This window comes from Homo sapiens, chromosome 18 (assembly GCF_000001405.40).
Source record: "Homo sapiens chromosome 18, GRCh38.p14 Primary Assembly".
In the NCBI taxonomy this organism is placed as follows: Eukaryota; Metazoa; Chordata; class Mammalia; order Primates; family Hominidae; genus Homo; species Homo sapiens.
Window position 1 is genome coordinate 47,852,883 of NC_000018.10, and position 14,270 is coordinate 47,867,152.

The 14,270-nt window shown below is 35.2% G+C and overlaps 1 protein-coding gene and 1 pseudogene across 6 annotated transcripts in view; both read right to left on the reverse strand.

The window, feature by feature from the left end:
- SMAD2 (SMAD family member 2) overlaps nucleotides 1-14,270 on the reverse strand; it is a 121,916-nt gene that overhangs the window by 43,926 nt on the left and 63,720 nt on the right. For 3 of the 6 annotated variants that reach the window (XM_047437508.1, XM_017025749.2, XM_047437507.1), the window contains 2 exons: nucleotides 12,177-12,251; nucleotides 391-11,219 (listed from right to left, as the gene is read on the reverse strand). In XM_047437508.1, coding sequence (XP_047293464.1) covers nucleotides 11,158-11,219; nucleotides 12,177-12,251 — 137 coding nt within the window. In that variant the 3' untranslated portion in view covers nucleotides 391-11,157. Of the gene's footprint in view, nucleotides 1-390; nucleotides 11,220-12,176; nucleotides 12,252-14,270 lie in introns of those variants that run through there. The other 3 variants (NM_001135937.3, NM_001003652.4, NM_005901.6) reach the window with 1 other exon arrangement.
- Nucleotides 348-590, reverse strand: MTCO2P2 (MT-CO2 pseudogene 2; annotated as a pseudogene).

A 14,270-nucleotide genomic window follows, 5' to 3' on the forward strand; every position in this document is an offset into this window, starting at 1 on the left:
TTAAAACACATTTGCTATAAACATTGTTAAATAATCTTATTAAAAATATAAAATATATTTTCTTTTATGATCATCATTCTCTACACGTTTAGGCACAGTTACCTAAAAGAGCATGACCCAAGCTTCAAATGTATACCAAGAGCATAATTGTAGAATAAGATAGGTCAGGCTGGGCATGGTGGCTCATGCCTGTAATCCCAGCACTTTGGGAGACTGAGGTGGGTGGATCACGAGGTCAGGAGTTAGAGACCAGCCTGGCCAACATAGTGAAACCCCATCTCTACTGAAAACACAAAACTTAGTCGGGCATGGTGGCATACACCTGTAATCCCAGCTACTCGGAAGGCTAAGGCAGAAGAATGGCCGTAGTATACCCCTGGTCGTGTAGCAGTGAAAGTGGTTTGGTTTAGACGTCCGGGAATTGCATCTGTTTTTAAGCCTAATGTGGGGACAGCTCATGAGTGTAAGACGTCTTGTGATGTAATTATTATACGAATGGGGGCTTCAACCGGGAGTACTACTCGATTGTCAAAGTCAAGGAGTCGCAGGTCGCCTCGCTTGAATCCAGGAGGCGGAGGTTGCAGTGAGCTGAGGGCATCCCACTGCACTCCAGCCTGGGCGACAGAGCAAGACTCTGTCTCGAGAGGGAAAAAAAAAAAAGAGTAAGATAGGTCAGACCATCTTACACACCTCCTCCCTACCACACACTATTATAACCATGACATAAAATACCAGGCAATAAAGGTGAAATGGTAGCCCCTAGATAAATAAATGAATCAGAGAAGGGATGCTTAGTTTTTAGAAGACAGTACGGTCTTCCACAACATAATTAAGTTATGTTCCTTTTTTCTCAGTTTGAAAAATCTGCTGGCAAGTCACAAATCTGCTGGCAAGTCACAAATCTGCTGGCAAGTCACAACAGGTACAACTAAGATAGGTCAAAACATATTTGGAACAATGAGCTAAAATTCACTGCTGTTTCCTGAAACCAACATAAAATAAACAAAGCCACTATTAGAAATGGAGGAAACTGCCCAACTATTCATATCTTTTAACTGTTTACTCCTCTATTAAATACTTAGAAATGACCAGTAGGATCATTTAAATTAACAGGCGTTCAGTCAGATGTGACAGGTTAGAATTACAGATTACAAAAAAGACAAATTTTAAAAACTTAAAATAAGCTAACAATTAATAGAAGCCTTTAAAAAAAAAAAAACCAGAGGCAACGAACTGATGATTAGCCTATGAATTATTCATACATAAATGCTGCTATTGGAGTCTCACCTACCACAGGTCTTCCACTTAGAATATTATAAATATCCTATTTGAGATCCAGTGTGAATTAGCAGTGTCTACTTACAGCTAAACCATCTACAGAAATCCCTGTGCATGTATCTTCGCATACAAATTCACATATATTTGTAGGATACATTCGTCAAACCTTTGACAAATTAACAAATGTCAAATAAAATGTGTTAAACTTTTATAAGTGCCAAAATACCCTCTCAAAAATGTTTCATCTCACTAAGAATTTATAAGCTAGTGTTTCTTCACACCGTGTCACTACATGTTGACATCTGCCAATATGATAGGTTTAAAAGGAGCAATTTTTTAATTTCTTGTTTTTGTTGTAAACAGTGTATTTCTGTTCTTTTAGCCAATTCTATTAACTATCTTTTTCTTCTTGATTTGTAAGTTTTTAAACTTAAAAATCAGTTCTTAGACTTGTCATCTATTTGCAAATATTCACCCAGGTTTTTTTTTAAAAAAAATCTGTTATATCTTTTAAGGTGACATTAAATTGTTTTAATTTAAAAAAGACTTTTTTTTTAGAGTAGTTTCAAGATCACAGCAAAACTGAACAGAAAGTACAAAAAGCTCCCATATGACCCCTGCCCTGCTTCCCCAAATTCCCTATAACATCCGCAAACCACAATGGTCCATTTGTTATAATAATGAACCTACACTGATACATCATTATCACTGAAAGTCCATAATTTACATTAGGGCTATGTTATACATTCTCTGGGTTTTGACAAATGTATAATGACGTGTATCCATTTACAGTTTCAAACAGAGTAGTTTCACTGCCCTAAAAATGCCCTGTGCTCCACCTAGTCCTCTTTACCTCCCACAAAGCCTCAGTAACCACTTATCTTTCTACTGCTTCCATAGTTCTGCCTTCTCCAGAATGTCATATATAGTAAGTCTTCATTTAACATCTTCCATAGGTTTTTGGAAACTGACTTAAGCAAAATAATTGTACAACAAAACCAACATTCCCCAATCATCAACACTGTAACGAAATGACATTATTACTTGAGGACCTGTTGTACATTAATTGGATATATCAGTTTATTTATCTAGTCACCTATTAAAACATCTTGGTTGCTTCCAAGTTTTGGAAATTATAAATAAAGCTGCTATGAACATCAATCTGCAGGTTTTTGTGTAGACCTAAGTTTTCAATTCATTTGGGTAAATACCAAGGAGAAGCAAGACTGCTAAACCATATGGTAAGAATATAGTTAGTTTTGTGAGAAATCACCAAACTGTCTTCCAAAGTGGCTATACCATTTTTCATTCTGACCAGTAATAAATGAGTGTGCCTGTTGCTCCCCATCCTCACCACACCAGCACTGATGAACTCCCTCAGCTTTTGTCTGAAAAATTTTTTATTTCTCCTTCATTTCTGAAGGACAGCTTTACTGGTTATAGTATTCTTGGTTGGCAGGGGTACTTTTTTCTTTTTTTCAGATGGGGTCTCACTCTGTCACCCAGGTTGGAGGGCAGTGTCACAATCTTGGCTCACTACAACCTCCACCTCCTAGGCTCAAGCAATTTTCTCACCTTGGCCTCCTGAGTAGCTGGGACCACAGGTGTGTACCAACACACCCGGCTAATTTCAGTTTTGTTTTTTAATTCTTTCAGCACTTTAAATACACCACCCATCTCTCCTGGCCTGCAAACTTTCTGCTGAAAAAGCTGATTGTCTAATGAAGACTCCCTTGTTATGTGGCACGTTGCTTTTACTCTTGCTGCTTTTATTCACAATAGCAAAGATACAGAAGACAACCCAAGTGTCCCATCAACAGATGAATAAATAAAGAAATGGAGGGTTATACACACAATTGAATGTTATCCTGCCTTAAAAAGGGAGATCCTACCACTTTTGGCATGGATGAATCTGGAAGACATTATGCCAAGGAAATTAGGTGGACATAGAAAGACACATGGCATAATCTCATATGTGGGGTTTTTTTTTTTTAAGCCAAATACATAGAAACATAATAAAATGGTGATTACAGGTTGGGGGGAAAATAGGGAGATTATAGGTCAAAGGGTATAAAGTTGCAGATATGTAAGATATGCCCAGAGATCTAATGTACAACCTGAGGACTACAGTTACAATATTGTGTTGTATACTGGAAATTTAGTAAGTCAATTTTAGGTGCTCTTATCACACACATAAAAAGGTGACTATGTGAGATGATGGATTTAGTTGACTACAGCAACCATTTCACTACATACACCAAATATCATGTTATATACCTTAAACATATACAATAAAAATGTATGCTTTAAAAAGTCTAATTTACTGAATACAGACTAAAGTGTTCACAAACCTTCCAGAAAACTGGGAATCATCCTGGGTTGCTTCTTCAACCTTAACCCAAATATGATCACTAGTCATATTCTAAGCCTCAGCAATATGTATCAAAAGCACCCACTTCTCCCCCATGTCACCTAAAACCAGCCAGACATATAGTGTAATAAACAAGAACAGGAACTCTAGAATCTGACATCCTACTGAATTTCTCTGTCATTTTCTAGCTATTTTTTAATGAGGTTCATTACAGCATTGTTTTTTAATTTCTGGTAAAAGTTGAACCTTTTAAAATTTTAATTTTTTGCTAGATGCAATTACATATAATGCTTAAGTTTTCCTATTTTGCCTAACTATGCTAATTTTTTTTTTTTTTTTTTTTTGAGACGGAGTCTCGCTCTGTCGCCCAGGCTGGAGTGCAGTGGCGGGATCTCGGCTCACTGCAAGCTCCGCCTCCCGGGTTCACACCATTCTCCTGCCTCAGCCTCCCAAGTAGCTGGGACTACAGGCGCCCGCCACTACGCCCGGCTAATTTTTTGTATTTTTAGTAGAGACGGGGTTTCACCGTTTTAGCCGGGATGGTCTCGATCTCCTGACCTCGTGATCCGCCCGCCTCGGCCTCCCAAAGTGACTATGCTAATTTTTTATAATGAACATCCATTTGTTGTATAATTTGAAATGCTGTATCATAATCTTATGTGTAGAACACTGTTTAACTTTTATCTGACACAGAATAATGGTAGAAATAAGAGATTAAGCTTCCCTGCCAAAGTGATACAACATTATAATCATCAAATTCAGCTTATGAAATATATAATGCATGAATGATCATTTTTTCATTTCTTGTTTTAAAAAACTTAATCCCCAGTGCGATAGCATCTTAGGTTTTACATATTTCCAATTTTTCTATGAGAGCATAATTCTGTTCATAATGAGAAAAAAGGCTGCTTTTGTTTTTATTAGAAACTCCTACAGAGTTCCCCTTATAGTTAGTATGTAGAAGATTGGGGAAAACCTTTGCTTCTGAAATAGCAGTAAGAAAACAGTGGATAAACAAAGAAAAATTCTATTTTTCTTTAAAGTTATCACACAGATATAGATCCAAATAAGTCCATAGGAACTAATTTACAGAGAGGGATGAGCTCCTCCCCAGTTAACAGAGAGTGGTAATCACTTTCACTACTGACAGCATCTGCCAAGTCAGGACACAGACAAAGGACTGAGCTTGCCAAAGGAGAAGCCAACTAAAATTTCAATGGCCATGCACAGACGACAGGAATCGAAGAAGCTGCAAGCACAGAGCTCCTCTTCACCAGTCAGTTTTAATACATGTCTTTAGCTGAGTACATGTTAGCATAGGAAGTCCTGGGCAAGGCTGGAAAGAAATAAGAATATGCAGTCTTGCCATATTTGTATCTGAAAGTTCTGATAAGGTAGGGAACTGACCCTCCCTGAAACCTGAGTGATGTGACATTAAAGCACCAAATTATCACCTTTCCAACTCAAATCCTAAGGGCAGGGAAAGGATCAGCTCCTCAACTTGGCAAATAGAGAAAAGAGTTGGTCTTTCCAAAGAAAGTGTTATCTATTTTAATCTCTAATATTATTATATATACAACACCCACTATCCAATTAAAAAACAAGAGATATTCAAAGATGGAGGGGGAAAAAAATGACCCCATAATCAAGAGATAAAACAGTCAACAAAAGCAGGCCATGTTACATATTAACTGGACACAAATTATCGAAGACTTTAAAATGGAAATTATATAGCTAAAAAATAAAGGATCTGAAATGAAAAATTCATTTAATTGGATTAAGAGCAGACTCAAAGTCAGGGTCACATACATATTATCACTTGATTTTCAACAAAGGAGCCAATGTAAATCAATGGAGAAAGGAATGTCTCTGCAAAATGGTGCTAAAACAACTGAAAGAAATGTCTGTAGTAAAGGAATAAAAAGCAGCAAAAAGGAGCCAAACTGGTAAATATGTAGGTGAATATAAAATACTTCTTTTTATCCCTTCTAATTTCCTTTAAAAATCAACTTGATATCAAAAGCAAAAAATAACACTGAACTTTGGGGTTTATATATTTTTATTAAGTAAAATACATGTCAATAATAGTACAAACAACAGAAGTAGATGAATGAAACTAGAGTGGTGTAAAGTTCTTAAATTTTACATGACGTTGTAAAATATTACAACTTAAATAAACTTCTAGGTATAACATAAGTACAATGTAATCACGAGAATGCCAACTGAGAAAATAATACTAAGTGTTACTGGTAAAAGGCCAAGAGAGTAAACAGAATGAAACAAAAATTATTTGATTAGTCTAAAAGGCAGGAAAACAAACAGATAAAAACCAGAGAGAACAAATAGACAAACAATTGCAAAATGGTAGCCTAAAGCCAGTATCAATAATCCCTCTAAATATAAGCGGACTAAATTTTCCAACTAAAAGACAAAAATTGTTAGATTAAATAAAACCAAAAATATGCTGTCCACAAGAAACACACCATAAATATAAAGATTCGGATAGACTGAAACAATTAAAAATATATCATGTAACCAGAGGTAAGAAAGAAGATATGGTGATGTTAATATGAAATGCATTTTATAATTAGGGCAAATTAATTTGGAAGATGTATAATTCCAAATGTGTATCATCTAATAACAGAGGTTAAAGACACACGAAGCAAAAACTGACAGGACTAAAGGCACAAACAGATGACTCTAAAATCAGAGCTGAAAATTTTAACACTTATCATAACTGACAAAATAAGGAGATTTTAAAAAATCATAAAGAATTAAGAAGATGTAAACACTATCAACCACCCTGACCTAAATGACATTTGGAACACTATAGTATATACATTCTTTCCAACTATATATGGAACTCTTATCAAGATAAGTTACAAGTTATAGCATAAAATAATTTTCATAAATTTCCAAGGACTAAAGTCACACACACTATATGCTGGACTGTTAACAGAATTAAATTAGAAATTGATGAAGTATCTAGAAAATCCTCACACTCCTAAGAAAAACCCAAACTTCTAAATAACTCATGAATCAAGAAGAATTAGAAAATAAGTGATAATTTAAAAACAACATAAAATTTGTAATATAGAGCTAACATAAAGCTTAGAGGGAAATTTATAGCTTTAAATGTGTACATTATAAACAAATCAATGATCTAAATGTACACCACAGGAGGCTAGAAAAGACCAGATTAAATGAAAAGTAAGCAGACAAAAAGATGAATACAAACAAAACAGAAAAGAGACAAAGACAACAAAGACTACTGATTAATCCATTACAAGACATTCTAATAAAAAATTAAAAAGTCAAATTACTAACATTATAAATTTTAAAATGGATCTCACATATATGAAAGGAATAACAAATATCAGAAATAACTTTATATCAATACATTCTCCAGCCTTGGCAACCTGGTGAAATCCTATCTCTAAATAAAACACAAAAATTAGCCAGGTGCAGTAGCATGTACCTGTGGTCCCAGCTTCTCGAGAGGCTAAAGTGGGGAAGATTGCCTGAGCCTGGGAGGTTGAGGCTGCCGTGAGCCAACCAGGCCACTGCACTCCAGCCTGGGCAACGAAGTGAGATCCTGTCTCAATTAATCAATCCTATGACTTAAATGAAATGAACACATTTCTAACAAAATCCAAGTTTATCAAACACATACACAAAATTAAAAATGTAAATAATTCTCAATTTAAAAAACCTTTTCCTACAAGAGATGGTTTCTCTGGAAAAATCAAACTTTGTTTTGAATACAAGGTCTCGCTGTTGCCCAGGCTGGAGTGCAGCGGCGCAAACATGGCTCAATGCAACCTCCACCTCCTGGGCTCAAGTGACCCTCCCACCTTAGCCTCTTAAGTAGCTGGGACCACAGGTGAATGCCACTACCCCTGGCTAATTTAAAAAAAAAAAAATTTTTTTTTGTAGAGACGGGGTCTTGCTTTGTTGCCTAGGTTGGTCTTGACCTCCTGTGCTCAAGCAATTCTCCAGCATTGGCCTCCTAAAATGCTAGGATTACAGGCAAGAACTACCATGCCCAGCCCTATCAAAAATTTAAGAAAGAAATAATGCCAACCTTAAAGAAACTCTTCGAGAAAACAGGAGAAAGCCCTTTCCAACACATTTTATGATATTAAAACTAATAAACACATTACAAGGGAAAAAACCCTACAGACCAATCTCTCATAAACATAGATGGAAAAATTCTCAAAAATAAAACAATTCAAATCCATGAAACTATATGATCCTCTTTATAAACGCAGAAAAAAAATTTGACAAAATTCAACAGCCATTTATAAAACACAATTAGAACATTAAGAACAAAAAGGAAAAAGAACTTCCTCAATCAGATACAATCTCCAAAATATCCACAATTAACATCATACTTAAAGGGGGAATTGTGAAATGTGTTCTTCCTATAATCAGAACAATGCAAAAATGTCCATTCTTATAGCTTCAACAGTTTATTGTAGGTCTTAGTTAGGACAGAAAAAGAAAAAAGCATGAAGACTGGGGAAAAAAAGAAAAACTGTCAGCCGGGCACAGTGGCTCACGGCTGTAATCCCAGCACTTTGGGAGGCCGAGGCGGGTGGATCACCTGAGGTTGGGAGTTCGAGACCAGCCTGACCAACGTGGAGAAACTCCGTCTCTACTAAAATACGAAAAATAAGCTGGGCGTGGTAGTGCATGCCTGTAAACCCAGCTACTCAGGAGGTTCAGGTTACAGTGAGCTGAGATCATGCCATTGCACTCTAGCCTGGGCAACAAGAGTGAAACTCCTTCTCAAAAAACAATCAAACAAAAAAAAACTGTCCTTATCAACAGATGACATGGCTGTGTATGCAGAAAACCTCAAGAATCTACAGAATTCTAGAACCAAAAAGTCAATTTAACAAGAATGCAGGAGAAAAGAATATACAAAAATCAAGTATTTCCCATATCCTAGGAACAACTGGAAAATAAAATGTAAAAACAAAAACGTATAACAGCACTAAAAGTATAAAATACTAAAAAATTTATCTAATGAAAGACATGCTATACATCTACATCAAAAACTGTTTAACACATGGCAGAGAAAAGGCATTGTTATAAGACTATTATCCTGAAGTTGTCAAACCTGACCCCTCATTTTTGACAAAAATCTTACTTTCCTATTTTATAGAGCTGATCCTAAACCACAAAAATCAAGTGCTTCTGTGTCTGGATCTCAATTCTTCACTTTCCTTCACATCTTTGTGCAATCCACTATCTTCCTTTTTCTTAATGGTTAACTCCTCTTAACATTTTAACTACCTTCATACAGTGCTTATTACAGGTTAGAACACATAGATGCCTTATAAATATCAGTCCTATTAATACTCTATGAGTTAAATGCTATTATTGTCCCTATTTTACAGATTTAAAAACTAGGTTACCTAGCTAGCATATGTAAGAGGAACATTTCAAACTCAGATAGTCTAGCTCAGAGTCTCACTATGCTATTTTGATTATATGCATTTAGTTAAGAGGAGTAAGTCTTGTAAGTGGAGTGTATGGGAAAACTGTCTAGGAGTACAAAAAACTAGTAGTTTACAAGAAGAAAAAATTAAAATGTATTTTCTATTTATTTAATCTCATCCTTCAATTTCTAATTTTTGTATATATTTTTAAATGTACTTGAAGTACCTGTATATAACTTACAAATAATTAAGTGTACATATTAGTAGGATACTCTCAAAATCTTAATACTCACTGTATTAGCTTCCTAGGGCTTGCTCTAACAAAATACCACAAACTGGGTGGCTTAAAACAACAGAAATTTATTTTTTCAGAGCTTTGAAGGACCTAAGTCCCAAGACAAGGTGTCAGCAAAGCCATGCTCTCTCAAAGGCTCAAGGGGAGAATCTGTTCCATGCCTTTCTCTTAAGCTTTTGGGTTTCCCAACAATCCTAGGAATTGCTCAGCTTGCAGGTGCTAACTCCAGTTACCTGCCTCCATCTTCATATAGCACATTCCTCCCTATCTTATAAAGACACCAGTCATATAGAATTAGGGCCCATCGTACTTCAGTATGACTTCATCTTAAACAACTACATTTACAAAGATGCTACTCCCAAACAAGGCCACATTCTGAGGTATTGGAGGTTAGCACCTCATTTTATCTTCTGGGACACAGGCAGATTAAAAAACCCTTTAAGTCTCTTTGTGTATCTTGGACCAAGCACAGTGTATGTAGAAGATACAAAACTGAATTGTGAGTTATGAAATCCACATCTTATGATCTATTATATTCTATTTCTCTATATACCTGTTTGAACAAATATGTTCATAAAAATCATGACTTGAAAAGGGACTGATTATACAATACTACAAAGGTTAATCGAACTTATAAATTTCTTACGATGTCCAGCCTGATCTCTAATATCCACTATAAAGGAAGAATAAAGTCTTGACCAGCAAAATCTAAATCAAAAAAAAAAAGAAAAAAGTAACAAGTGCTTGTTCGTACACTTACTTATTATGCCTAATTTATCCTCTGGTTGCCCTTTTAAAAAATTTCAATTCATTATTTTTAACAGCAGGTTATGAAAGATGAATTTAATTATGTCCTTCCTTCTGGAAGGTATGAACCAGAGTTAGAGAGGTGGCCAACTTTGTTCTAAATTGGAGCCCTGCATCAGTCAGAATTGTTTCTTGCCATGGCCCCAAGAGAGAAACTGATATTGGGTAAGAGGCTGGCAGCCAAACTAACTGTTGGCATCTCATGAATCACATATTCCCATTGCCATACAGTAATTTTTAAACCTGTCATTCAGAAAGCCAGTAACACTGCTCCACTGAAACAGAAATATTAGGTTGGGTTCAAAGTTAGCCCCAACACTGCAATTATTTTAGCTGGCTGATTCAGCTTATTCTCCACTTTTGTACTTTGATTCATTTATCATACATAACGAATACTTGTATTATTGCTCCTCCTGTGTTTCAGTTATATTGCTGAATAGGTGTCTGTGCACTAAATTAGAATCCCTGCAGCCTTTTTTTTCTGGCTTATTTCACTTAACATACTGCTTTCAAGGTCCATCCATGTTGCCACACGTCATGCTATACTGTCATTCCTTTACATGGTTGAATAATTCCATTGCAGAAACATACCTCATTTTATTCATCCATTCATCATTTGATGGACATCTGAGTTGTTTCTAACTTTGAATATTAAGAATAATGCCTGCATAAATGGTCATGTACAAGTTTTTGAGTAGACATGTTTTCAGTTCACTTGGATACATAGCTGGCCACAATATGTTAACTCTGTATTTAACTTTTTGAGGAACAGGAAACTTTTCCAAAGTGTTGAACCATTTAACATTCCTACTAGCGATATATGAGGACTCCAATTTCTCCACATCCTCACCAACATTTGTTATTGTCCTTTTTTGATTATAGCATCTAGTAGGTGTGAGGTAGTATCTCACTGTGGTTTATGACGTTCAGTATCTTTTCCCATCATTCACTTTTAAATGTCACAGTAACAGCTGTCCATCACAGGCAAAAAAGAATATTATTGCTTCAAGAAGAGTGTCATCTAATTTTAGTAAAACATATGTGGAAAGTCAAATATTATTTGCATTAAGATGTATAACACGTTATTTCCAACGTTCATTAGATTATCTACCTTTCTTAGTTATCTGGTACTCCTAAACACCCAAATGTATGATTAGCTACAGCAGAAACTTCTTTACCTGGGAGTCCAAAAAAACGGATTTAAACAAGAGAATTATTGTAACCCCTCCCTCCCCCACCAATGTTAATCCACTTAAAAATAATTTAGATTATCATAACCAAGAATGCATTAGTGTTAAGATGTGGAGAAAGACTGATGGTATAATTTGTCAGGTTGTGATATTAAGGTGTCCAACAGTTAAGATACAGACAGGTAAAATGAATCAAACTGGACAATTACAATGACATCAAAGTGATTTCACTGGTAGTTTATTAGTTCTGCTGAGTTATACATTTTATTACGTAAGACGTGATTTAAAGCTTTAATTTTTTTCTTCATCACTTTTTGGAGTTGATAGCTAAGCATAAGAAATTAATCTACTATAATTCAAAACTCACTATTAGGTTAAAAAAGCAGTGAAAAGCTGATCCCCATCCTTCACCCCCAAATTCCTCTGAAAATCTGTTATTTGAGTAATTATGGTTTTTTATCACAGAGAGATACTTAGTCATAGGGTTACTAAAATTTTCAACAGAAGCAAATACTTAAAAAGAAATAAAAGTATGTGCATGTTTTCAAATTTTCATTTACTCTAATAAAAAATAACAATTATTCTGCAGAGTAGCATACGTTATAATTTTTCAGTGACAACATGGACCTCTTTGGTAGTTCAGATATGTTAAATCAAGATAGAAGATCATCTTTTTTGGTATGCGTCTCAACTTCTCTAAATTTAAGAGTAACATCTTTTGTGAATTTCAAACAATACAAGAAATGTATATCTAATAACTGAGGAATTTTCAAAGACATTTTTTTTACCTGTGTCCATACTTTGATTCAACTGTTGGTCACTTGTTTCTCCATCTTCACTGATATATCCAGGAGGTGGCGTTTCTACAAAAGTTTAAAACAAATCAAGCACAGCTGCAACATAATCTCACTACCTTTTCTCTCAGCTACCAGAGATAACCAATGAATCACTCCAAATAACAAATAATAATGTTATATAATATTATAAAAAGTAATATTGCATACTGAGGGTGTATAATTCAGGATCTTGTCCAAATTTTGCAGTGAATCCTTAACATCCACTTTTAATAAAATCCTACTCTCTGGACATACACATTATGTACGTATCTTGCTCATTCCTATATGTACATATTCTGGGGCAAGAGCCAAAAACGTAACTTTAAAAATGCCTCAGATCTGAATCAGTAGGCTGCAAAACCATCAGTAACTACAATTTTTTGTTGTTGTTGTTTAATCTAATGAACATCGTTATTTTATGAGTACTTAGAAAATTAAAAAACACACAAGATTTTGGATTATAAAAGTATTAAATAATACAGGCTTACAACTTACACTAAGTTCTATAGGGTAAAATATGGTAGAGTATGGTTCCGGATTGGTCCAGGCTGAATTCTATCTAAAAAGTGTGTTTCTCCAAGGATTCCTAACTGGTAAAGTCTAAGTGTTTGAAGCAGAAAATTCAATTCAAATATAGACTACTGTATAAAGAGGTAAAATGCTCCCTGAAAATAACCATTAGGATTCTAATATATTATTTCCAACATGTTGTCTGAATAAAACACTTATGTTCAGAAAGGTATCTGAATAGCTGAATAAACTGCATGTAAAATAAAAACATGTATACAATTTAATCAACTGTAATTCCAGGGAGGAAAAATAAGTTCAGAAGACTTTCATCAGTTTTACATTTACACTGAACAGTTTTGAGCGATTCAAGATAACAAAGACACATATCCAAACAATTTTAAAATTATCAAAAGAACGAGGCCAGGCGCGGTGGCTTATGCCTGTAATCCCAGCACTTTGGGAGGCCGAGGCAGGCAGATCACCTGAGGTGGGGAGTTCGAGACCAGCCTGACAAACATGGAGAAACCCCATCTCTACTAAAAACACAAAATTAGCCGGGCATGGTGGTGCATCCCTATAATTCCAGTTACTAGGGAGGCTGAGGCAGGAGAATCATTTGAACCCAGGAGGTGGAGGCTGCGGTGAGCCGAGATCACACCATTGTACTCCAGCCTGGGCAACAAGAGCAAAACACCGTCTCAAAAAAAAAAAAAAAAAAAAAAAAAGAGGAAGAGAAGATACAGGTTAAGGGTCTCCTTCAATAACCTTTTACAATATCTATTCAATAAACTAACCACAAACTTTAAGTATCAAACTTTTCATTTAAGTGTCAGTACCCCCAAATTTTTAAAACAAAAATTCTAAGAATAAATTATCTTCATATACTCAAAGAACATAAAAATAAGGGTACATATTATGCATATTTTAAAAGTTAAAGCTAATAAAGTTAAACGGCGCTAAGCTTTTTGAGTTTAACCTGTATTTCAAAGATCTAATCAGAAAGAAATGCTGAACCTTAAAATACGTTATCTTACTGTGTTTATTTTTTCCATTATTGTAATAAATAATAAAGCTATTAGCATTTTTGAGAAAATGTTAAAATTTCTTTTAAGTGGAATAAAATGTGAACCCTTTGGTTTTGCTGTTGCTTGAAACCGGATAAAGCCCCACTGTCCAGAAAAGCAAATGGGTATAATCCACTTCTGATTTTCTACTTTATAAAATACTCAAATCTCAATAATTAAAGGAATAAAAAAGAAAGGAAAAATGAGCCCAAACATCTTCACAAGTGAAAGCCACTAAACATTCTGGTGAATAGCCTTCCAAATAATTACTGGATATGCGTGTTGTCCCTAAGACTGCATGTTTATACCTAAGGTTAGTATTGCTGGCTGAATAACAGTAATTCCCACACTAACGACTTAAAATGCCTCCCCTTCCCCACACCAACGTTCACACAACTCCACTCCCTTTTCTACCTAGCAATTGCCCTGTTTCATAGTCCCGGGTTTTCCCTCCTCCTAGTGTTATCATACT